The sequence below is a fragment of the Homo sapiens genome, chromosome 10 (assembly GCF_000001405.40).
Source record: "Homo sapiens chromosome 10, GRCh38.p14 Primary Assembly".
Lineage (NCBI taxonomy): Eukaryota > Metazoa > Chordata > Mammalia > Primates > Hominidae > Homo > Homo sapiens.
This window is the reverse complement of record NC_000010.11, coordinates 64,185,445-64,209,758: the sequence shown is the minus strand read 5'-3', so window position 1 is coordinate 64,209,758 and position 24,314 is coordinate 64,185,445. Positions and strand designations below refer to the sequence as shown.

The window sequence follows — 24,314 nt, the reverse complement described above, 5'->3', positions numbered from 1 at the left end:
TGGGGAACCTGGCCAAAAACCCCAGCCATAACTGCATTCTGTGTGCACTGATTCCAAAGGCCTTGGCTCATCAAACACCAAACCAATGAAAAAACCATTACTTACAGCTGAGAAGATGTATTTGTTCTTAAAGGACAGCGAGTTGCTGTCATTTGAACAGACATGGTATGCCAAGTTACACACTATTTGGATCCAGAAGGGCAGAAAAATGTCATTATATTCTGAAAAAAAGTGATTTTTACAACTCCAATTAGGCCTCTGACCCCTTAGCCCTTGACTTCAGATAATCTCTAATGCTCCTATCTTTTCCAAACTGCTCTACTCATTCACAGAAAAATCAAGCTGTTCAATTTCATCAACTTTTCTTTTCCCATTTTTGGGAAACAGTAAGGAAAAAGGCCAGATTTGGAATAACAAGACATATGTTTCTGAACATGTTAGAGCATATTTTAATATCGTCAAAAGTGGGACATCATTGCCTAAGAAATTTTCTAAAAATGGAATAAAAAGCTTAGTGTTCAGGAAAGTTCTGCCTGATAAAATAAGGAATTGATGACATTTTTGATAAAATATTTTTACTGTGTATTAAAGCATTTTTTAAATCATTCACACAATAAGGAAATTTAAAAGGGAATTGGTAAAAATTATTAAGGTTTAATCAAGCTATTTTTCCATTTTTTTCATAATCTAGGATGAGACTAATTTTCTTATATTTGGGGTTGGAGCAAAAAAGAAAGTAAGAATTCCTGTTACTTGCAGAAAGTTATTTGTGGAATACACAAAGGAGGAAACTCGAAGAGCTGGTTAGAATTTCTGTGCATGCCACTGAGTAAACTGTGAGCAAATTAACTTGTGTTTTTCTGTTTGTTTGTTTGTTTGTTTGTTTTAAGATTCTGTCTGTTTTGTTTTACAGAGTCTATAGCTCCCAGATTACTGCGCTTAGTAGTTATTGTTATTGTGGCCCAAATACCATCCCTGCTGTTGCAGCTGGTGAATTTACCAATATCCCAGGCTATTTAACAGTCTGTTTTTAATCTATTGGAATAGAAAGAGCCTTACTCAACTAGTAACTAAGCTTCCATTCCATGTACTACTGATCCTGGTCCTATTCTAACCTTGATTTTGAGTTCCTGAAATTAGACTCCTGTTTTCTTTTTCTATACCTGAGCTATGACTTGCTGCCTTAAATAGATCACTTGTTTTTCTAACCTAGGACTTAGTTCTGCTTTTACCAAAATAATGGGTTAAATAACATGCCAAAACAGATATGCCTATGTCCTAACCACCTCATACCTGTGAATGTGACCTTATTTGAAATTAGTGTCCTTGTAGACGTAATTAAGGATCCTGAGATGAGATCATCCTGAATTTAGAGTGGGCCCTAATCTAATAACTGGTGTCCTTAAAAGAAAAGGGAGAGAAAGATTTGAAACACTCAGAGATACAGAAGAAAAAGGTGATGTGAAGACAGAGACAAAAATTGAAGGGATATATCTATACACCAAGGCATGCCAAGAATTGCCAGCAGCCACCAGAAGCTAGGAGAGAGTCACAGAGCAGAGGAATAGAACCTCCAGAAGGAACCAGCCCTGTTGGCACCTTGACTTCAGACATCTGGCCTCCATGACTCTAAGAAAATAAATTTCTGTTATTTTAAATCACCAAGTTTGTTGTAATTTGTTATGGCAGCCCTAGGAAACTAATATAACCAATAACCCTGAGGACTGAAGTCCTCCCATGAACTCTTCACTGAACGTGGTGCCTTATGGCAAGAACTACCTAGTATCAATCACAATGTACATGTATCTTTTTATATTGTCTGCTCATACACTTGGCCTGCCTGTCTCCACTATACCCAGCTACCAACCCATTCTGGGCCTTATTGGCATCAACAACTCATCTATCTGGGCATGGTGTTCTGCCAGACAGCCCAGATTTCTACTGAGCCTGATGCTCAATGGCTCAGTACCACTGAAAGGATAGTTCTGCTTCAAGGAAAAAAACAAAACAAAAAAAAAACCAACCTAACTAGTATCTCTAAAATAAAGAATATAATTGACTTACCTTATGTCACTTGTCCATCCCCAGTCTGGCCAGTCATGGCCAGGAGGATGGAATCAGATGAAATCACTGCTTATTCTACAGTATATGTGAAAACAGACATTTTGGAAGTGTGTGGGAGGAAAAGGAATTATTAGCAGAGGAAATAAATGGCTTCTCTACTATCTCCATCCTTGTAGGTGGAAGCTGAGAGACTCATCTTTTCATTGACCAAGTCCTCAAAAGGAAAATTATCTCTGCATAGTCCTGAAATATGTCTCATTTGTTTGGTGTGAAATGACAGCTGCCCATTCATAATGTCTCCTGCTGTCATGGAGTTTACAGTCTAGTAAGAATGACAGTCATTAAATATGTAATTACACATTTAATTTCAGAAGGGGAAGTTTAAGGTATGATAGAGGTATATAACAACAGAAAGCTAACTTAGAGTCAAAGAGGTCAAAATATGACAGAGACAGCGGTGGGGAAGCATATAAGAATATGCTTGAAGAACAGAAATAGAACCAGTATGTCTGGTCCACCTTAGTAGTTGGGCTAAACTAGCCCTAGATAACAGTTACTCTAGATCTCTCCTAATAAAGCTTCAAATAAACCTGAAAAGAATCAAATGGGACCACAAATAGACTGCCTAACAGAACAAAACAAAGTTGAAAATTCCATAAAGGAAGGCAACAAAATCCAGACACTCAACAACATAAAATTTACAATGTACGGCATCCAATCAAAAAGTACAAAGATGTTGGAACATATGACACACAACCAGGAGAAAAAGCAGTCCATAGAAACAGACTAGAAAATAATAAAGATAATGGAATTGGAAGACGAGGGTGTTAAAACAGCTATTAGAAATATGTTCAAGGATTAAAAAAACATGAACAGAGTGAGAAAGGAAATGGAGAATATTTTTAGAAGAACCAAATGGAATATCTAGAGAAATAAAAACTTTAGTGGATAAAAGAAGACTTGTTTGGCAGAACCACAGAGCACACAGGAAAAACTGGAATAGGATGTGGCTGGAGAGTTATGTAGACAACTTCCGGAAAAATTTGGAAGCCATGGTATAATTTGGAACTTTTACCCTAAGGGATTGGGAAAGTCATGCATATGAAGCAAAAAAGGGACCATTATTGTGGTGAGCTGAAAATACAGCTCTTCCTAATTTAGCTTTTCACTAGACTAGACAGAAAAGAAAGTGGAGCTCTTTCTGCTTCATATTAGTAAATCAATGAACTGGTTCTATGTGGGAAACTGGAGCTCTTAAATAGTTCACTGACAACGCACACTTATACATCATCCTGGAGTAGGGAAGTAGGAGGCACTCTCATAGCTCTCATCTAATGGTTATTGAGTATCTGATATATGCCAAGCTTTCTTCTTGAAATGGAACAGAGCTTTGAACAAAAATGTCTGAGGACCTATCCTCATGGGACTTTATAGTCATAACAGAGAAGAGGGTGTTCACAGCCATTTTCTTGGTAAGAACTGGCTCAAAAGAGGATAGAAGTTTTAGTCTGGGATACAACAGATTTTAGAGCATGTGAAGTGACGTAGCACCATTTACTTTCTTGAATATTTAGAAAACTGTTTGGTTGTATTTAAGTGAAATTTTAAACTTTTAAAATTGTGTTCTATTCTGAACCTGATAAGACATGTCTAAGTCACCAATGAAATGGTTCAATTTTTTAAATGAACAAAAGATCAGATGAATTTTACTTTTATTCAACCAATTAAATTTAACCCAAACAAATGAAGTGTCACTCTCAATGGATCATTCCTTTGCATTAGGCTTTTAGCTAACAGTCTCTTTTGTTTGAAGGTATTGATTTTGATAATATTAAATGACGGCTATTATACTGTCAATAGCTCATGGTGATGGAAGGGAATAGAAGTTAGAAATCTATTTCACTTGTAGATTTCTTGAATAAGATAAATTAACATTAGGTACAAGTTTATCTATGATATTTTGTTTTCCAAGAAAAAAAACTTGTTTGCCTGTGAATCTTCTGTTTTTAAAAACATCTTTGTTTAGAGTCTAATCTAGTTAATCTCAATAAAGAGTTTATGCAGTTATCCAAATTACTTAAATTCTCTCCAAACTGTTAAAGTTCGTGACAGAATCTTGGAAGGGTAAGACTTAACCAACTCTTAATTATTCAAGCTAATGGTGGCCTGCAGTGTGTGAAATGTGATGAGCCTCTCAGGCCAAGATCAATGACATCAGGCTGAGTGTCGAGAGCCAGATGTCGTGACTGAGGACATCCCTGGGATAAAGACAGGAGCTGAGGCTCCATTAATCATCATGAATGAATCCATTTCTTATTCCTCAGGCAGACATTGGGTACTGCCGTGTTGGTAAAGAAACAATAATCTTTAAAATAAAAGCTCGTGGTTTAAGTCTTCTTTTCTTGGAAAACACCAAAGTTCCTATATTTTTGCTATAGACTTTTGTCTACCAGGTATTAGATAGGAGTTCTAAATTTCTTTTTTTTTCCACTGGTCTAATTTTCTTTTTTTTTTTTATTATACTTTAAGTTTTAGGGTACAAGTGCACACACAACATGCAGGTTTGTTACATATACATACATGTGCCATGTTGGTGTGCTGCACCCATTAACTCGTCATTTAACATTAGGTATATTTCCTAATGCTATCCCTCCCCACTTCCCCCACCCCACAACAGGCCCCAGTGTTCCCCTTCCTGTGTCCATGTGATGTTCCCCTTCCCGTGTCCATGTGTTCTCATTGTTCAATTCCCACCTATGAGTGAGAACATGCGGTGTTTAGTTTTTTGTCCTTGCAATAGTTTGCCGAGAATGATGGTTTCTCTTCAAAGAATCAATATGTCAGCATGTTCAATTCTTTACCTTCTACTTTTAAACTTAACTTCCTCATAAAGCAACCTTTTTCGATTACCTGCTCCCCGCTGACTCATTTCAATCACCTGCTCCACCCTGACTGATTCTGATTACCTTATCCACCCTGACTCATTCGAATTACCTGCTCCACCCTGACTCATTCAGATTACCTACTCCACCCTGACTCATCCAGATTACCTGCTCTGTCATAACCACTTTTCCCGCCAAACCACTCACCCCGTCACTCTCTTTAAATTAGCCAGTCGGAATTAGTTTAGCCTGTGCAGTCTAACCCTAGCCAATAGGGTCAGCAGCAGCAGCAGGGGCCACACATGTCAGGGATAAGAACCCCTTTCCCTCTCTTGTCCAAGTGTGCGCTCACCATTGTTCCATCTTTAAGGGTGCAACCTTCTATAGAAGTACCTTGCCTTGCTGAAAATTAACAAGAAAATTTTATATTCAAGTGCTATTTATTTTTTGGCACTGAAACTTTATATATAACACAAGGAACCTCAAAATATTTAAGAATTTAAACAGACCAGGAAACAAGCTCATCAACTCTTGAGTTGATGACCTATGAACCATCAAGGCACAGACCAATAGAAATGATTGAAATTATATTGCTGTATTCATGTTTAATGCTCATTTACTCCAATGTTGCTGCCTAATCTGACTGGAGTATGGCAGGATAAATATCTAGAGATGCATCAAGCTCTAGAGCTTGATTAATAAATATGTAAATTAATTTATCATCTTAAATTTCAATCAATAGCTGCAATTTATTCCACAGAAAGTATTGAATCTCTCAATGTGCCAGGCATCATGTTAGGCACTAAAGTTCTAGGGTACTCTCTTCAGGAGCTTCACAGTTAATTAAGAGATAAGCAAGTAAACTGAAAACTACAAAGCAATAGTAAGTGTCTTTGATAGAAATAATAAAGGGCATTATGGGAGCACATGAATAATATGTGACTCAAAATAAAATGATATCTGAGCTGCAATATGAAAGATAAGTCATATGTAAAGGAAAATATTCCAGGCAAAGGAAAAGCATGTATAAAAGCACAGAGCCCTGTGAGTTGATGATACATATATTGATATATAAATGGTCCAGCTTCAAAGGGAGAATGGCTCAAAGGACAAGAGGTATGAGTTTAGGCTGGAGATGGAAAGACAAGACCTAAATGATTATTCTATGTACAGAATGATGGTACTTTAAGCAGCTCTTGAAATCCCATAGCCAAAGTCCCTGGTACATTTTTAATTCAGAATGAGAGATTAAAATATGCTATTCAGAAAAGAGAAAGGCTTAGTTAATACCTAATTCACCAAAAAGGTGCACTGCTAAAAGCACGGGTGAAATAATCCACATCCTCTTTGAAATCCTCCAGATATTCCACCAAACAAACCCTAAGAGAGGACAGGTAAACCGATGATATTATCACGGAATCACCTAAAGTCTTAATAGTCAAAGTTTTTCCACAAACCAACAGCATCTGTCATCATCTGGGAGCTTATTAGAAATGCAGAACCTCAGGCCACAACCCAGACCTGCCTTGTCAGAATTTGCACTTTACCAAGATCCCCAGGTAATTCTTGTGCACATCAAAATTGGTGACGCACTAATCTACAGAAGAGCTTTCAACCCTGGATATACATTAGAAACACCTGGAAAGATTTCAAAACTACCAAGGCCAGGGATCCCCCTTTAGAGAGCACAGTTTACCATTAAATCAAGTACGTTACCAGGTTTTTTTAATTTGTATAACTAAGCAGAGAACATTTCCAGGCATCAGATAGAAAACGAAGAATAAATAGATGCTATTGCAGGGGCAAAATGAGGGGTTTGGTTTTAATGTTAATGTATGCTTGTGGGACATACAAAAAGCTACGGTAAATGAATGAGCAGATTGACATAAGGATGAGTGAATGGGATATTTATGTGAAGTTTTTCAGTAATCAACTAGTTATATGAATCTGTGATCTAAGAGAGAAGTCTAGGATAAAGACATAAAACTATGTAGAAATTTTGGAGTCATCAAATACAGAGGGGTAAACACTGAAAGCACTAGAATAGATAAGAATGTGAATAAAGTGAGAAAAGTAAAGGTCAGAATAGACTCTCTTGTGTCATAAACTTTTAAAGGGTATGCTCAAAAATGAGATTACACTACAGCATCCAGACAAGAAGATGAGAAATCAAGAGAGAAAAGCACTATATATACCAAAGAAAAAGACAGTTTCAAACTGACATATAAGTAGTGTCAACAACTGCAGCAACATCAGAAGTACAAGACCTCAACAGTATCCTTTTGGCATTGCCATCTAAGAGTTCACATATAACTTTGGCAAGAAGATGGATGGAATAACAGCCAGATGGTAATTCACTGAGGAGTTAATGGAAAATGAGGCAGTATAAATACTTAGTTTCTATTTCTCTTTCAAAAAGCTTGACAATAAAGATAAAATGAAAAATATGGTGATAGCTAGAAGAAGGCGTAGAATGTAAAACCCTAAGCTGCACTCAGGAAGTCCACAAACTTGTCAGAAGCTTGAGTGCTGGATCCACTAATTGCAATGTTTCTAGTGTAAACACACATTTCTCATAAGCATATGTATTTTTCCATTATAAATGTTTACGCTTCTAGTATATTGTTGGGGAATAAAATTGCCTATTCAAACATGTTAGACATAGGTTCTGTGTAGACACAGCTATCATAAAGTTCCACATAAGAGACTGTTGCCATAATGTGGTCCCACGGTTTTAAGTTTCTTTTAAATTGGTTGGCCAGTTAAATATTTAGATGAAGAGAAACATGACATTCAGATGGTACTTTATCACTCCACATAAATACTGTGGTTTGGTCATAATGTTTTATGACTTACAACTATAGGACTTGGAAAACTATTATTTTGGTGCAACCTACTTTATTATTGTGGGAAAAACAGAGACAAAGAAAGTGAAGAGCGATAGGAAACTGAATTGAAATTAAGGATTCTAAATTCTTAGTTCTGATTAATAAGTTAGATTTGCATATTTTGATTTTTATCAATTAGTTTTAAATCAGTCTCCTGATTTTAAATGGTGAAGGAATCCAACACAGTGGAGAGAAAAGGCATTATCATTAAACTTTTATGAATTTGGAAATTGAAGGGAAGGATGACAAGACCCAGAACACAGGTGACAATTAAAAAACACTGAAAAGTCACTCCTTTCCTAATTTTAAAATAGAACAAAACATGCATGCCCTTTCAAATTCTCACAATTGGTTTAATGAGATAATGTACATCAATGCACCATAAAGTATTATCTGAATTTACTTCCCAGCATTATTGAGTCATATTTTCATCACCAAGACCAGCACCTAACACCAAAAATAAAAAAGTACCCTGGAAATTAAACAGAAAGGCTATATCTCTGAAGTAAGCACTCTGTGATGTTTTGTAATGGTGCCCATTGCAAAGGATCATAGATATGTCATAATCATTCGCTAGCTTTCCCTCAGTAGTGCAGTATATACACAGTTTGTATACATTTCTATGTACATAAACTCAAGATAATTGCTTGGTCTTCAGTTGCCTAGGTAAAGTATTTTCCTAGATTAGGTTAGTTGGAACAATCTTGCCTGAAAAAAGACCTTTTAGTTTCTGAATAGACCAAATCTCTACCTGCATACAGGATAGTGACAATTTTTGGACAGTTGTTTTGAAGTAATGGAGCTTTAATAAATTGTGTCCAGATCCAAGTTTAGACCTTACCCTTCAATATTAAACCACATTCTCCCTTTCTGTGAAGGAGGAGATATTCACACACACCCACAAAAAAAAACAGTTATTGAAACACTACTGTGTCACCCCTTTGTCTGAGAGCCAGAAGGCTGAGGCCACTTATATTCCATCAGCCTCCTGGAGCCCAGAGCACTGAACTGGTTCTAGAAGTTTTGGCTCCTTGGGTGTAAGAACTGCAAGCCACTAACAAAAGTTATCATATAGTCTCCCCTGCCTCAGGCCATATCCTCGCTGACCACCTTAAAAATGACACTTGAGTTTAATTTAGAATCTTAAAGTGAACTACGTCTACCAGGTCTCACCTGTCATCAAAAATTACTTCCCTCTATGCTCTGCTTCCTCTTCCTGTTCTACTATTCCACTTCTTCCGAAACTTATTAAAAAGTGCCAGACAGAAACCTCAAGCCAAGTAAATTTCACATACGTGTGTGTGTGTGTCTGTGTGTGTGTGTGTGTGTGTGTGTAACAGTGTCTAAGGACTCGAGCTTTAAAGTCAGAACTAGATTTAAATCCAGGCTTTTTGACTTACTAATGCTGTGACCTTGGGCTTGTTATTTAACTTCTCTGAATCTCAGTTTTTCCATCTGAAAAAGATAGTGATGTTTACTTCTTGCTTTTTGATTTTGGGGGATGGTTAAATGATGCAGTGCATATAAATCATATAGCACTGTGCCCAGCACATACGTTATTTTTACTATTCTACCTCCTTTTTAGAAAAACCCTATGCATGTCAAAATGATCTCCTTGAAGTGATAGGATAGGCCTTCTTCCATGCCTTCTTACCATAAATGAGGGAGTACAGTGGTGGGTTAAGTGACCCTTCTCTGTCGTCTCATAGATCCCAGTACAAACTTCTTAGTGCTTAGCACTTAGAGTGAAATAATTGGTTTACCTATCTGTCTTTTTAGTAAGCAATAAATCTCATAAACAAGCTGGATCAACCAAAGCCCCTAGAACAGTGTCAAGCACATAGTCGATACTCAGTAAGTACTAAACTGGATTGAATTGAACACACTTTAAAGGTGGGAGACTTCAGATGTGCTTAAGAAATAATGAATGCCCAATCTGGCTAAAATTGAGGAGTGCTCGAAGGCTGTAAAGGTGACTAGGGTCAAATCTGTGGCCTCCTTGGAAATACTCAGACCACAAACATACAAACATTCTTTGTCCATATTCAATATCATATCACTCAGACAACAAAACCTTCTTAGAATTCCATCCTCTTCATAACAAGAGAACGTTCTAGTAGATGTAAAGACTCACTCTTTCTATAATCCTTCTCAATGCTCCCTTGTCTATCCTTCAGAGATGGTCAAATTTCCTGTCCTTGCTAGTTTGAGAGACCAATTCTCCAGCCAGCTTACTTTACCCAAGAAAATCACAGGCTCAGGGCAGTGGGCACACAAGGTGACTTTGCTGGCCTCGGCTCCTCAGCAATGCCTTCTGTCAGTTTCTTACCACAGTCCCACTTCCTGCTTACCTGTTGCAAACCTCCCTGTGTGCTAGGTGGTCTGCTCATCACTCACCACTCTGAAATAAACTCTTGCTGCTATTCAGACTTCAGAAAACTGAAGAAACTTGCACCTGTGATAAGCAGCAAGGTCTCCAACAAACACTGCCATTTGGAACACTGGTTTCTACTAGGTCTCACTTATCAAAAACAACGAGCTTCTATGCCTTGCTTCCTTTTCCTCTCTTACTATTCCATTTCTTCCTAAACTGGAACCTTTTACCAAATAAATTCCACCTACATTTATGCGTGTGTGTGTGTGTGTGTGTGTGTGTGTGTGTGTAATGGTATTAAAAGCTTGAACTTTAAAGTCAAATTGAACTACGATTGAATCCAAGCTATATTACTCACTAACTCTGTGACCTTGGGCAAGTTATTTAATTTCTCTGAGCCCAAATTTCCCCATTTAAAAAGAAAGGTAATGGCATTGACTTCTTGATTTTTTGGTGATGATTAAATGACACAAGCACATAGATCAGTTAGCTTTGTGGCCAGAATGTAATGGCCTCAAAGTCACTTCATACATGCCATGTGAGTGTGTATCAGCAGCCTCAAAGACTATCATTGCACCTCAATTTTAGCTGCTCTGGAGGCTGACTACCTATTATCTATTTTTGATGTGCCACCCCAGAGCTACCAAAATGATTTTGTGATTGACGCATAGGTTATGTTTTAAATTGAACCATGTCTGACATCTACATGTTTTTACAAGAGAAAATGATAGACAGCCAGAAACTTATTTTCATTTGTATGGATTCTCATAAACTTCCTGTCTTTGACTACTACAGGAGTCCCCTTCAGACCAATTCATCATTGCTGTAACATCAAATTCTGTTATCTGTATATCATGGCAGTGATTAAAACACAGAAACTTTAGCCTAGGCTGAAATCCCACATCTGCCTATAACTGTGCAATCTTGAACAAGTTATGCGACCTCTCTCTGCCTCAGTTTCTTTGACTGTAACGAGATCATAGTAATAGTGCCTACTTTGCAGTATTTTTGTGAAATTAAAATAATAAACATTATGTCTGCATGTTCACTTTTACTACTTGTAGAGTATAAATAATTAATACTACAAACATTTGCTAATTGGTGATTATGTGCCACCACTCTATTTAATGCTAAAATAGTCAAAGATGACACAGCACCTGACCACAAAGAGCTTGCAGAAAAAGTCTGATCCATATGAACACACACATATAATCACACATTTTAGGCTATAAGAATGCCTAACATTTTGAAATCTGAGATGGCCAATCTGTTCACTTTGGCTTCTAATTGTTGTTTGCCTCTTTAATCAATAATAAGTGTGGATTGATATCTGGACCCACCACTTGGACCAGCCTTCCGTAGGATAGATTCCTAGAAGAATGTGGACTATAACCACCTCCCATTACTTATTACTGAGGTCCCTGCATCAAATCACATTCTTTACTAATCAAATCATTGCGTGAAGTCCAAAAGTTATCAAAGCTCAACAACTTCAATCAATTCTTAATTTTATAAATGGAGACATGGAGAAGGACCCTCAATTTGAGTAAACAAATAATAAAATAATGTGTGACTTCCCCTGAATTGCTTGAATCATTTCTAGCTTACAGAATATGATGGAAGTGGCATTCTAACCTGGATATAATTTCTGGAAACTGAATAACAAGTTCATGGACAAAGTCGGTGTTCCACCATTTGTGAAAAGGGAGGGGATTCTCTTTACAAAACACCTGCTACTGCTCTTAGCACCTGGCTGGGCCCCCTGCCCTTTGCAGGCGGCAGTGCCTTGCACTTTCTCTCCATAATAAATCCTGACTTCAGTTAGCTGGCCTCGAGGCTTAGGTTGTTCTGTGCTACAAAGACGAGATCTTTTAAAGACCAAGAGCAACTGCTGCCTCTTAGGTCATTGCCTAGGAAGTAGCTAGTCCTCAACAGGCCAACCAACTCCAGGCCACAGGAACTAGTGCCTTAACTTACCTGGTTCCTCCTTTGCATCTACACTGCCCTCTGCTGCTTGTAATCCCAGGATGCCCTGGCCGTTCTCTGGAGTTTTCTCTGCTTCAGCATATTGAGGGAGGTGGATTCTGCCCTCCCACTTGTAGTCCTGATGCTTCCTGATTCAAAGGCTGCTTCTGTCAACCCCTGGTGCTCCTCTCTCCTATGATTCTGTTCTTTGTTATCAAGAAGTGTTACCACAGGGCTAGGCTCTGAACTGTGTCCCAGTGAGAGGTGACAGCGTGCTGGCTGCCCTCCCTCGCTCTCGGCGCCTCCTCGGCCTCGGTGCCCACTCTGGCCATGCTTGACGAGCCCTTCAGCCCGCCGCTGCACTATGGGAGCCTCTCTCTGGGCTGGCTGAGGTCGGAACCGGCTCCGTCTGCTTGCAGGGAGGTGGGGAGGGAGAGGCGCGGGCGGGAACCGGGGCTGCGCGCGGCGCTCGCGGGCCAGCGCGAGTTCCGGTGGGCGTGGGCTCCGAGGCCCTGCATTCGGAGCGGCTGGCGGGCGCCACCGGCCCGGGCAGTGAGGGGCTCAGCACCCGGGCCAGCAGCTGCGGAGGGTGCGCAGGGTCCCCCAGCAGTGCCGGCCCGCCGGCGCTCCGTTCGAATTTTCGCTGGGCCCCAGCTGCCTCCCCGCAGGGCAGGGCTCGGGACCTGCAGCCTGCCATGCCTGAGCTTCCCCTCTTCCCGCCGTGGGCTCCTGCGCGGCTGGAACCTCCCAGACAAGCACCGCCCCCTGCTCCGCTGCGCGTGGTCCCATCTACCGCCCAAGGGCTGAGGAGTGCCGGCGCAGGGCACAGGACTGGCGGGCAGCTCCACCTGCGGCCCGGTGTGGGATCCACTAGGTGAAGCCAGCTGGGCTCTTGAGTCTGGTGATGACTTGGAGAACCTTTATGTCTAGCTAAGGGATTATAAATACACCAATCAGTACTCTGTGTCTAGCTCAAGGTTTGTAAATGCAGCAAACAGCACCCTGTGTCTAGCTCAAGGTTTGTAAATGCACCAATCAGTCCTCTGTGTCTAGCTAATCTAGTGGGGACTTGGATAACCTTTATGTCTAGCTAAGGAATTGTAAATATACCAATCAGCTCTCTGTAAAACAGACCAGTCAGCACTCTGCAAAATGGACCAATCAGCAGGATGTGGGTGGAGCCAGATAAGGGAATAAACGCAGGCTGCCCCAGCCGGCAGTGGCAACCAGGGTCCCCTTCCACGCTGTGGAGGCTTTGTTCTTTGCTCTTCGCAATAAATCTTGCTGCTGCTCACTCTTTGGGTCTGCACTCGTGAAAGTCTGCAGCTTCACTTCTGAGCCAGCGAGACCAGAAACCCACCAGAAGGAAGAAACTCCAAACACATCCTAACATCAGAAGGAACAAACTCCGGACACGCTGCCTTTAAGAACTGTAACACCCACCGCGAGGGTACGCGGCTTCTTTCTTGAAGTCAGTGAGACCAAGAACCCACCAATTCCGGACACACCAGGACAGTGATGTCACCCTTGGGTTCTACTCTCTGCTGGTGAGTTGAAAGGACTATATAAATGAATTCACATAAAGTAGTCAAAGACTGATGCTCAAGGCTCAATGTGAAACACTTCCCCAGAGGCATTTTGGTCCTTTCTAGGACTGGCCATGGGTTAGTAGGGATGATAATTATTTGGATATAACCATTAGTCTTTATTGATCACCACTTTATATAAAGCACTCATTTGATTTATTTTATTGTCAAATGACCCTAAAATTAGGAATCTTTACCCCCATTTAAAAGATGAGGAAAATGAGGTTCAAAGGGTTTTTCTGTTTTTGTGTTGTTGTTGTTGTTTTTAACAGCACAATGTCACACAAAGACCATGTTCTTGCTGCCTCCCTGGATGAGGGAGCTTTCTTTTTGCTCTTTAATCACACCATCAGTGGCTTCCAGCTTGCCCCATGGATAAGGCTGACCCTATAAGCAAATATAATGAGCTGAGCACAGATATATTTTCACTCCTAAGTAGAAATTTCTGATCTATGAAGCCAGCCTGCAAAGGAGTCAGCAGCCTGAGTCGTCCCAAATTTCATACAATTTATAAAGGGAAAGAAGAAAAGCCAATTACAGCGCTAAATATAAAATGACCCACGGAGCTGCACCACGGAAGTCGCTCTTGCTCTGCTGTCTAGGGTCACCTTCAAATCGGCAAACAGGTCATTCCCCAACAATGGAATATTTTCAACTTAATTGACTTGACAAAATAGCAACAAATTAACCACTCAGTTGTGTGTGTGGTTTTTAATCTTTTTTTTGTTCCAACAAATGACCAAGGATATGTGCTCTTCTGCCATACTGATTTAACTTAGGCAGCAGGAATTAAAGTCACCGAAGACAACAAGTGACATCAACTTTATGCAACTAATTTCAGTGCTAATGAAAACTTTTAGTGTACTTGTCTGCTTTATACCATGCTGTATTCTGGTAAATGATGCCGCCTTTTGTTTTGGAATCACAAATATAAAGTTCTCTGCTGAGAAAACATTTTCCATCTCTGTGGACATGTTCCAGGTAGCTTCTCTGAAGTAAACTATTCCCAAATAACTGTTTAAGGTACTTCATCCTTAGCTGAGAACTGAAGTTAAATTTAAAATAATGAGTGACTTGCGAAACTAAATTGAAACTCCCATTAATTATAAAAAATGAGTTAATATTTTAATTTTTCTCTCAAACAGGTTTTTGTAACATGATTATTATGCATGATGAGGGCACAGTTATAAACAGACATCCATAAAATGTCAACGCAGATATTGTGCTTTAGTTTGGTGTTAGCATTATGTATGTCTACATTTTTTGTTGTTGCTGTTGTTGTTGTTTGTTTTTGAGACGGAGTCTCGCTCTGCGCCCAGGCTGGAGTGCAGTGGCGCGATCTCAGCTCACTGCAAGCTCCGCCTCTCGGGTTCAAGCCATTCTCCTGCCTCAGCCTCCCGAGTAGCTGGGACTACAGGCGCCCACCGCCACGCCCAGCTAATTTTTTGTATTTTTAGTAGAGACGGGGTTTCACCATGTTAGCCAGGATAGTCTCGATCTCCTGACCTCATGATCCACCCGCCTCGGCCTCCCAAAGTGCTGGGATTACAGGCATGAGCCACCGTGCCCGGCCCCTGTATGTCTACATTTTAAAATTCAGGGGAGGAGAAGAATTCATGGACATCTGACCTACATTTAGTCGTGCTGTATGTAATATCACATTTTTTGTTTGTTTTATTATACTTTAAGGTCTGGGATACACGTGCAGAACATGCAGGTTTGTTGCATAGGTATACACGTGCCATGGTGGTTTGCTGCACCCATCAACCTGTCATCTACATTAGGTATTTCTCCTAATGCTATCCCTCCCCCTGCCCTTCACCCCCCGACAGGCCCCGGTGTGTGATGTTCCCCTCCCTGTGTCCATGTGTTCTCATTGTTCGACTCCCACTTATGAGCGAGAACATGTGGTGTTTGGTTTTCTGTTCCTGTGTTAGTTTGCTGAGAATGATGGTTTCCAGCTTTATCCATGTCCCTGCAAAGGACATGAACTCATCCTTTTTTATGGCTGCATAGTATTCCATGGTGTATATGTGCTACATTTTCTTTATCCAGTCTAACATTGATGGGCATTTGGGTTGGTTCCAAATCTTTGCTATTGTGAACAGTGCCACAATAAACATATGTGTGCATGTGTCTTTATAGTAGAATGATTTATATCACATATAAAGACATACATCTTTCAGGAGACCTTCCCAGCTTAATTCTTTCCAGCTCTGATAATAATGTAATTTATTATTCTCAGATATTCTTTATCTGTTCATTAAGTGTGTTGCCTATCTTTTGTCCCATTAATATAACTAGTACTAAGCAATGGACATCACTGCTAGGTGTTACTATTGGGTTCCATGGGTGCTATATGGCTATATTTTGGCTATTACATGGTAAGGCAGTTACACATGCCATGCAATTTTTTGATGCCAAATAACAGTGCATCTGCTCTATTCAGTAACACTTGAGGGCCTAAAGAATGTACCCATCTGGACTATAGGGTAGAGTCAGAAAAACAGCGTCTGAAAAGAATGTAAGCCATTTTTGAGGCTTCCTCTGGCTTCCTGGGAAAAGTGATGGGTCATGGGGGGTGGAAAAAAAGGCTTCTTTTCACCTGTTCTGTACCAAGCTCTGAAGTCTGATGATACCTACACTCCTGGAACTTTCCAGGAAACACGATCTCAAGCTCAGGGCCACTTAGTATTAATCAAAACGTTACCAAGAGGAAAAACATTTAGCACAATTGCTTGAAGAGCAAGAATGTTTCATTTCTCTAAATAGTATAAGATATGCCCCTGAATCGAGGCCAGGTTAATGCCCATAAAAACTGAGAAGACGACAGTGCTTTCTTCTGATATATGCAAATTGAAATAAGCCATTCTTCAAAATTACAGAAAACATAAACAAATGGTGAAAATATAAACCTACTTTTTCTTGATTTTTGATTGAATAATTTCACTAGAAATTACCCAATTTTTATTCAACAGACACATAATTTGTTGGTGCCTTACACTCTCTATTAGTTTGCCCATGGGATAACCTACCATTATCCAGGCATTCAGCCAGACTGGCAAAGGAAGAGGTACCCAGACTGAATTATATTCCCCAGCCTCCTAAACTACCACTCTTGCCAGTAGAGCTGATTTGCACGGATTATTTCTTGGGAAGAGAATATCTATCTCTATTAAGGAATCATTTTTAAAGAAAATTTTGTCAGCACATGTATCATAAGAATGTCGTCCAGGACACTATCATAGAACCCATATATATATTTTATGGACTTTATATATTACAGATTTTGTGAATCATGCAAACACCCAGTTTTCTCTTTTCAACTTGGCTTGAACTCTTAGACCCAAATATGTGGCTACCCATGGCCAGCCAGCACATAGGTGTGTGTGTGACAGATGTTCTCTGTCTCTTCTACTTAATGATCCCATCCTTATTTTTTTCTATCCACTTGCTGTCTTTTTGAAAATTATTTTAAACTTATATTTATTGGGTTTTTTAGAGACAGGATCTGACTCTGTTGCATAGGGGCTGAAGTGCAATGATGCAATCATAGCTTACTGTAACCTCAAACTCCTGGCCTCAAGCAATTCTCCCATCTCAGCCTCCTGAGTAGCTGAGATTACAGGTGTGAGCCACCAGACCCTGCCACATGTTATCTTCTTATCTTTTTTATAAGACTCCCCATTTTTATAAGCATGTTTTGAGTCTCCTAGATGCTGTTTTATGGATATTCTTGATAAACCTTATCAAAAACCAATAGTCTCAGAGGGCCACAATGCTTTGAGTGCCACTCAGGGGGTTACCTTTGATTCTTAGAGACGAGATGAACAAAATAACTGTCCTCAGGCCCCACTGAGTCCCATGATCAGCCTGGGAAATTTCACAGCACTTAGTAAATAGAAAAATGTAAAATAAGAATCTTCAGAAATTCCAAAGGCTACGATTTGAACGTATTTGAGACAGAAAAATCACATCTTATTATAAATATCAGCCTTCTGTCTCCACCACAGGAAATGTTTAAAATCTAGTCCACAAAGTGAATGCCTTGGTTAGGGGTGCAACCCCACGAATTTACAGTCAGACGACTGACATGGGAAGGATTTGGGTTCACCATCACCCTTAACATTATGAATGCCAGACTGATGTCAGTAACAAATTAGGTTCTGAATTCCAACTGTGAATCTGCCTTAAGAGGCAATTGGTCATCCTGAGAAGCAACCTGAAGAAGCACAAAGAACACTAGGAAAAAGAGAGGAGACCAAGCTGCATGTCTTGTCCAAGTAATTTAAACACTCAAAACCTGGGCTTTCTTTTCTATACTATTAAGAGGTTAAATTACATGATCTCTAAGGACCCTTGCACAGCTGTAGTTCAAAGAATTTCTGAATTGAAATAGTGTTTCCAACCTCTGCCAGGCCTTATCCGGTAGCCATCAAATGGTCATTAACTCTGGTTACCAGCCATTGTGTTTGTACACAGAAAACTGACCTCATTGGTGTCCCCTTGGATTTAAAATTGCTGGTGATAAACTCCCCAGAAGTAATTATTTCTGCTACACTGGTGTGCAGCTCCAATTTATGGCAATTACATACGATTAGTCACAGCTTCCTTATCCCTTTACTCTTTAGGTTTTAGCATTCAGAAAGGACGGTCATTCCAGAAAGTATGTGCACATCAGCATAAATATATCTAGGCTTCCATTAAAGAGTATCTCTCAATTTTCCCTGGTAATTGTGGAGAAAGGAAGAGCTCTTATTTTCTGTACCACTTATAAAATTGCCCACAACTCAGACTGGCAAATTTCTGACAGAAAGAGAAATAAATGGAAAGAAAATCCTAGAGGACCTTGAAATTAATTTTATGTATCTTATTTTTAAATTACCACTGATAAATATTTCTGTTCTTTAAGGTTTCAGCTGTTATCCTATGGCTTGACTTTCTGTTTTCATTTCAGTAGATAATTGCCTGCCTCAGGATATTGTTCTTTTTTATAGAGAGAAATTTCTCATATCAGATTTTAAGTGCTTTCTGAAATTAACTCTTGGGTTTCCATATTGGCACAGTCGGGAATCATTCTCCAGTGAACGCCTATATGGAGAATGCTACAGATCTCTCCTCTTTGCTTTTTTCACCAAATATGAATATTTGTATTTGATTCTTGATGATAGTGCAGAGCTTGTTGGGAAAAAAGAAACTGCATGCACAAAATTGAAACAAGCTATTTAGTTTTACAATGAACAAGTTATTTTCCTTCCATGTGACTAGCAATCCTGTAAAAAACATTAAACCAACACAGTTAAAGTGGTAAAGAATAGATGCTAAATAAACATCTGTTGATGAAATGAATGAATGAATATATGAGTTATTTTCATTGACATCTTTTAATTGATGGAACAAAACAGTCTCACCACACATGAGGCTATAACAAAAGCTATTCAGTTGCTCAAAGAAATGAACGAATTTTTTAACTTTCATTCTCTTTACTAGAATTTATAAATAAATGTAGAAGCTTTCTGGATCTTTTCAGATTGGGTATCTATAAGCTTAGAAAGTCTCCATAGGGAAAAATACTAAAGAGTATTTCAGCTAGCAGAAAGAAGTGATTCTGTAGCTGAAATAGATCTTAGGGATCATTTTAGTCCAGGCAACAAATTTAGTCCAAGGGCAAATCAATAAATGTGATACATCACATCAACAGAACAAAGGACAAAAACCATATGATCATCTCAGTAGACACAGAAAAAGTTTTGATAAAATTCAACATCACTTCATAATAACAACTCAACAAATTAGTCATAGAAGGAAAATACCTCAACATAATAAAGGCCATAAATGACAAACCACAGCTAACATTATACTGAATGAGGAAAAGATGAAAGCCTTTCCTCTAAGAACTGGCATAAGCCAAAGAGGTTACTTTCACCACTTCTATTGAACACCATACTGGAAGTCCTAGCCAGAGCAATGAATCAACAGGAAGAAATAAATGGCATCCAAATTGGAAAAGAAGTCAAATAATCCCTTTTTGCATACAACACAATCTCATATATAGAAAAACCAAAAGACTCCACCAAAAATTTTTTAGAACTGATTAAAGAATTTAATAAAGTTGCAGGATACAAAATTAATATACAAAAATCAGTAGCATTTCTATACACCACATTTCCACTGTCCACAGGCCATATTTGGCTCAGATATACCTTTGTGTTTTAAAGGTGTGATTCAAAAGCCTCTAGCCAGGGCCTGTACTTTGGTTCTCTGTTGACATCAGTATTTCCTGATGTGTTACACAAGCTGATTTTACGTTTCTTACCTGCCTAGCCCTGTCATCATTGTATTTGTGACTTCTGATTTAGGACAGTGCTCTTAAGGCTGCAACAACTGAGGCTCAAAGCAGGGCCCTGAGGTAGAGCAGGGATTACAGCTAAGCCTTGCGATTGAACTCTAGTCCCAGGACATTTCCAATAAGCAAAGAGAGTTTACTTTTCAAACAATTGGAGAGGAAGAACTAAAACTTTAGAATGGCCCTTTCATTTTAGTCCACATTACAAATGCATATCATATTCAGAAAATATAGGTCATTTAATTGCAAAGGAAATTAGGTCCAGTGGCTGTGACTAGGGTAGGATCACACAGCCACCAAGGGTACAGCCACTTAGCTGCCAAAAGTGTTGAGTACTCCAAAAAGTACAGCCAGCAATGCCTCAGGGCAGTGTCTCAGTGGGGTTGATTTTTCCCTCTAGGAACATTTGGCAATATCAGAAGACATTTTTGGTTGTCACAACTGCAGGGTGGATGCCACTGGCATCTAGTGGGTAGAAGCCGGAGATGCTGCTGAACATCTTATAATGCACAAGACAGCTCTCCACAACAAGGAATTATCTGGCCAGAATGTCAATAGTGCAAGATTGAGAAACCCTGCTCTAGACAATAAAGATATAAATAAAGTGATGTATCAGAGTTCAAGTTCAAGGGACAGGGCCATATTAAGACTTCTTGAGGCCCATTTATCACATCCTACTGTCCTCTTTACACCCCCAAAAATTAGTTTCGGTGTCCAGCAAGGACACCAAAAAACTGGTGTCCCAATAAATGGGCCTCAAGAAGTCTTAATATGGCCCTGTCTCTTGAACTCTGATACATGCCTGTCTACTATTCTGTACTTAGCATGTGTGTAAAATGAAATTAGTGGAAGAGAATTCGTATCTTGAGGACAATCGAGCAAGAGGATAGTAGAAAAGGCATGTATTCTGGAGTGAGACTCCTTTGGTTTAAATTCTGGCTCTATCATTTACTAAGTTTGGCAAATTACGTAACATTTCTCATCTCAAACCTTTTCCTCACTTTTTCCATCTGTAAAATGAGAGTAATAATAGTAACTTCTTTGTAGGAGGATAATGACATACCATATGCAGAGTATTTGGCACATACCTGGCATTTAGTAAACCATCACTCTTTAATTTCACTTCCCCCACTCTCTCCAGGAGGACATAACTGGTATCTGAGTTTTATAGATGAGCTAACTGAGGTTCAGAGACCCTCTTGGGGCATTGGCAGCAGCGGCAACTTAAGAGTGGACTGGGGTACAGTAAGGAGTAGGCATATCTCCGCCACCTCCCTCCCCACCATGCTACCATGGTTCTCTCTCTTCTCTTTTTGCACACATAAGCACCTCACAAGTAGAGGCCTTTGATTACAACATGAAAACTCTTTCCAGAACATGCTGCTCATAGCTTGTATTTTCACTTTTTAACTTTCTGTTTTCACAACAACAACAACCTATAGCATTGAAACGGTTTCAGAATAAATAAAACGTTTAGTTTTATAAAAATTTGTAATTTCTTATTCATTATTTATATCTCTTAGTTCATGCACTGCAATGTTTTATGTTGTATCAAATTTTAAATGATAGTACCATCCCATAAGTAAATGATTAATTACAAATGGAAACATAGTTAACTTTACAGTGAAGAAACCTGGTGGAGATTCCCTTTACCAAGTGATCAAAGTTAACTCCTTGTTTCCTGATTTCATGCACTGAGGACATGTTCTCCCTTAAATTATATTCCCGCCAAACAAAGCATAACAGGAAAACATCAGGCAAACTGAAGTCAAAGGACATTCTACACAATGAATCAGGAAGGAGAATAACTATAAAGAACTTCATTGGAACCATGGACGAAGTTTCATATCAACTTGCATTACTTAACAGCATTATCTCAGTGTTAATTTTTTTATGTTGCTCTTTTTACTGTAGTTATGTAAGAGAATGTATTCACTCTTGGGGCACAAAATATTTAGTGTTAAAAGCAATGACATGCTGATAAACTAGCTCTCCAGAAAACAGGTTAATAAAGAAAAGCCTTGGTTTGTAGTCTTTACATATTAGTCTGTTGTCACACTGTTGATAAAGACATACCCGAGACTGTGAAGAAAAAGAGATTTAATGGACTTACAGTTCCACATGGCTGGGGAGGCCTCACAATCATGGCAAAAGGCAAAGAGAGGCACATCTAACATGGCGGCAGACAAGAGAAGAGACCTTGTCCAGGGAAACTTGTGTTTTTTTAAAACCATCCGATCTCATGAGACTTATTCACTATCATGAGAACAGCATGGGAAAGACCCACCACCATAAGTCAATTATCTCCCACCGGGTCCCTCTCACAACACGTAGGAATTATGAGAGCTACAAGATGAGATTTGGGTGGGGATGCAGAGCCAAACCATATCAATTTGCTTATTTCTGTTGTATAAATTCTCCCACCATGGCTGATTTCAAGCTATTCATGAAAAAATCACTGAATATTGAAATGGGAAGAAAGGTGTACAATATATTTCATATATATGTATTTATGTATATATATGTACATATAAATCTGCAAGTGTAGAAAATGAGAGATAAAGCAAATATAGTAAAAGGTTAATCAAAGAATATAAAGGGAAAAATGAGAATTCATTGTATTATTTTGAAATTTTTTGCAAATTTAAAATATCATTAAAATACTAAAATTCAAAACCATTTACATGGTTACCAAAAAAATATTTCTTCAGATCATCAGAATGTTTTGCAGTATTTTTTAAGGGAGCATTATAACTGACTGTAACTGTGTGCAGGACATTCGCATGTCAAGCTTCAGGGACACTGAGTAAATCACTCAAGGTCAATGCATTTCCTCTTATGCAAGGGGTTAAATGTTAAAGTCAATGAATATTTTGTAGAGTTGAAAACACTCTTGAGGGCCCTAAACTCTCTATTAAGACAGTACAGTACTGGCCTTCAGTTAACTCAGGCAGTCATTCTACCGGCCTGGAGCTGTTTGCTGTTCCTTTACTAGAACCCCAGATGAAGAAGTTTAGGGATCACATTTTAATTTAAAAAAACAAAAAGTACCTCTTGACCATTTAAACACTGGGACCATACTTAGCACTGACAGATGTTCAGTTTGAGGAAGACGGCTGTGCACACATTCAACTAAAGGAATAACAGAATCATTGCTCACACTGGGAACACTATTTAAATTCTCTCTCTTTCTTTCTCTCTGCAATTGTAAGTTTCAAAGCCAGAATTTAAACTCCTTTAACTGTAGGCCAATTATTTTCCACTACTTCACATGTGTCTCCAGCAGACACCGAGCTAAGGACCATTTTGGGGGACGCTACATTTGGACTTGGAGGAGAAAGAACAATAATGAGGAAAGGCTAGAAAAGACTGATATTCGTTCGTTTTGTGGGAGCTAAAAGTACAGAAAAACTGAGAAATTGGCAATGAATAATACCAAATGGAATTATAAAAGTCAGGGAAATGAAGATTAGAAGAGATCATAGGATTGAGCAACTAAGCAGTATTTTGGCCTCTCACAAAATAAATTTGACTAGAGCAGTAGGAACAATAGCCAGATTTAAGTGATAAGAGGATGATGAGGAAAAAGATACGGTGGGTATCAGCTATCCTTTAAAAAACAGTAGCAAACAAAAGAAATTGGAAGTGACTAAAGATTAAAGGAGTAACAGTCTCTTTTCCAGATTTTTTTTTTTTTTGGCCCCTTAAGCTCACCAAGTACATCACACAAAAACTCTGTGATTGCCTACTCCTATTCACCTGAGTGATAGTGCTCCTAAAATATTCTTTAAGTTGTTTTGGTTTATTTGTGATGTGAAGCTATGCCTATTTGACATGTGACTTTAGGGAGAAACATGACTTAGAAGAAATCAAGTAGTGCATACAAACAATTCTGTATTCACAGAGTTGGAGACTACAAATGTATCTCTCGTGGGCAGTCTACTTTAGTCTCTAATTGAACAAGGACAGAGCTGCCACTACCAAGTTGGCCTATCAGATAACATCAAAATTCTACTTTTCCCCTCCACTCAGTAGAATTTACTGTCACTGACACATGGTCCTTCTGCTTATGTTCATGGACTGGCTTTTCTACTTTAGGCACCAAGAGTGGTTCATGAAGTATGAGGTTATTTGCACAGGTGGCACCAGCCTGCATCCTTCCGTAACATCCTCCTGTGAACCACTTTAACAAGTAACCTGATTACAGCT

General features: G+C 39.1%; 1 long non-coding RNA gene across 3 annotated transcripts in view; it reads right to left on the bottom strand.

Moving 5' to 3' along the window:
• LOC124902439 (uncharacterized) overlaps positions 1-24,314 on the bottom strand; it is an 820,351-nt gene that overhangs the window by 483,181 nt on the left and 312,856 nt on the right. The window contains exon 1 of one of the 3 annotated variants that reach the window (XR_007062166.1): positions 12,186-12,480. The exons of the other annotated variants lie outside the window; for them this stretch is intronic. This is a non-coding gene — a long non-coding RNA (uncharacterized LOC124902439). Of the gene's footprint in view, positions 1-12,185; positions 12,481-24,314 lie in introns of those variants that run through there. 3 annotated transcript variants of the gene reach the window in all.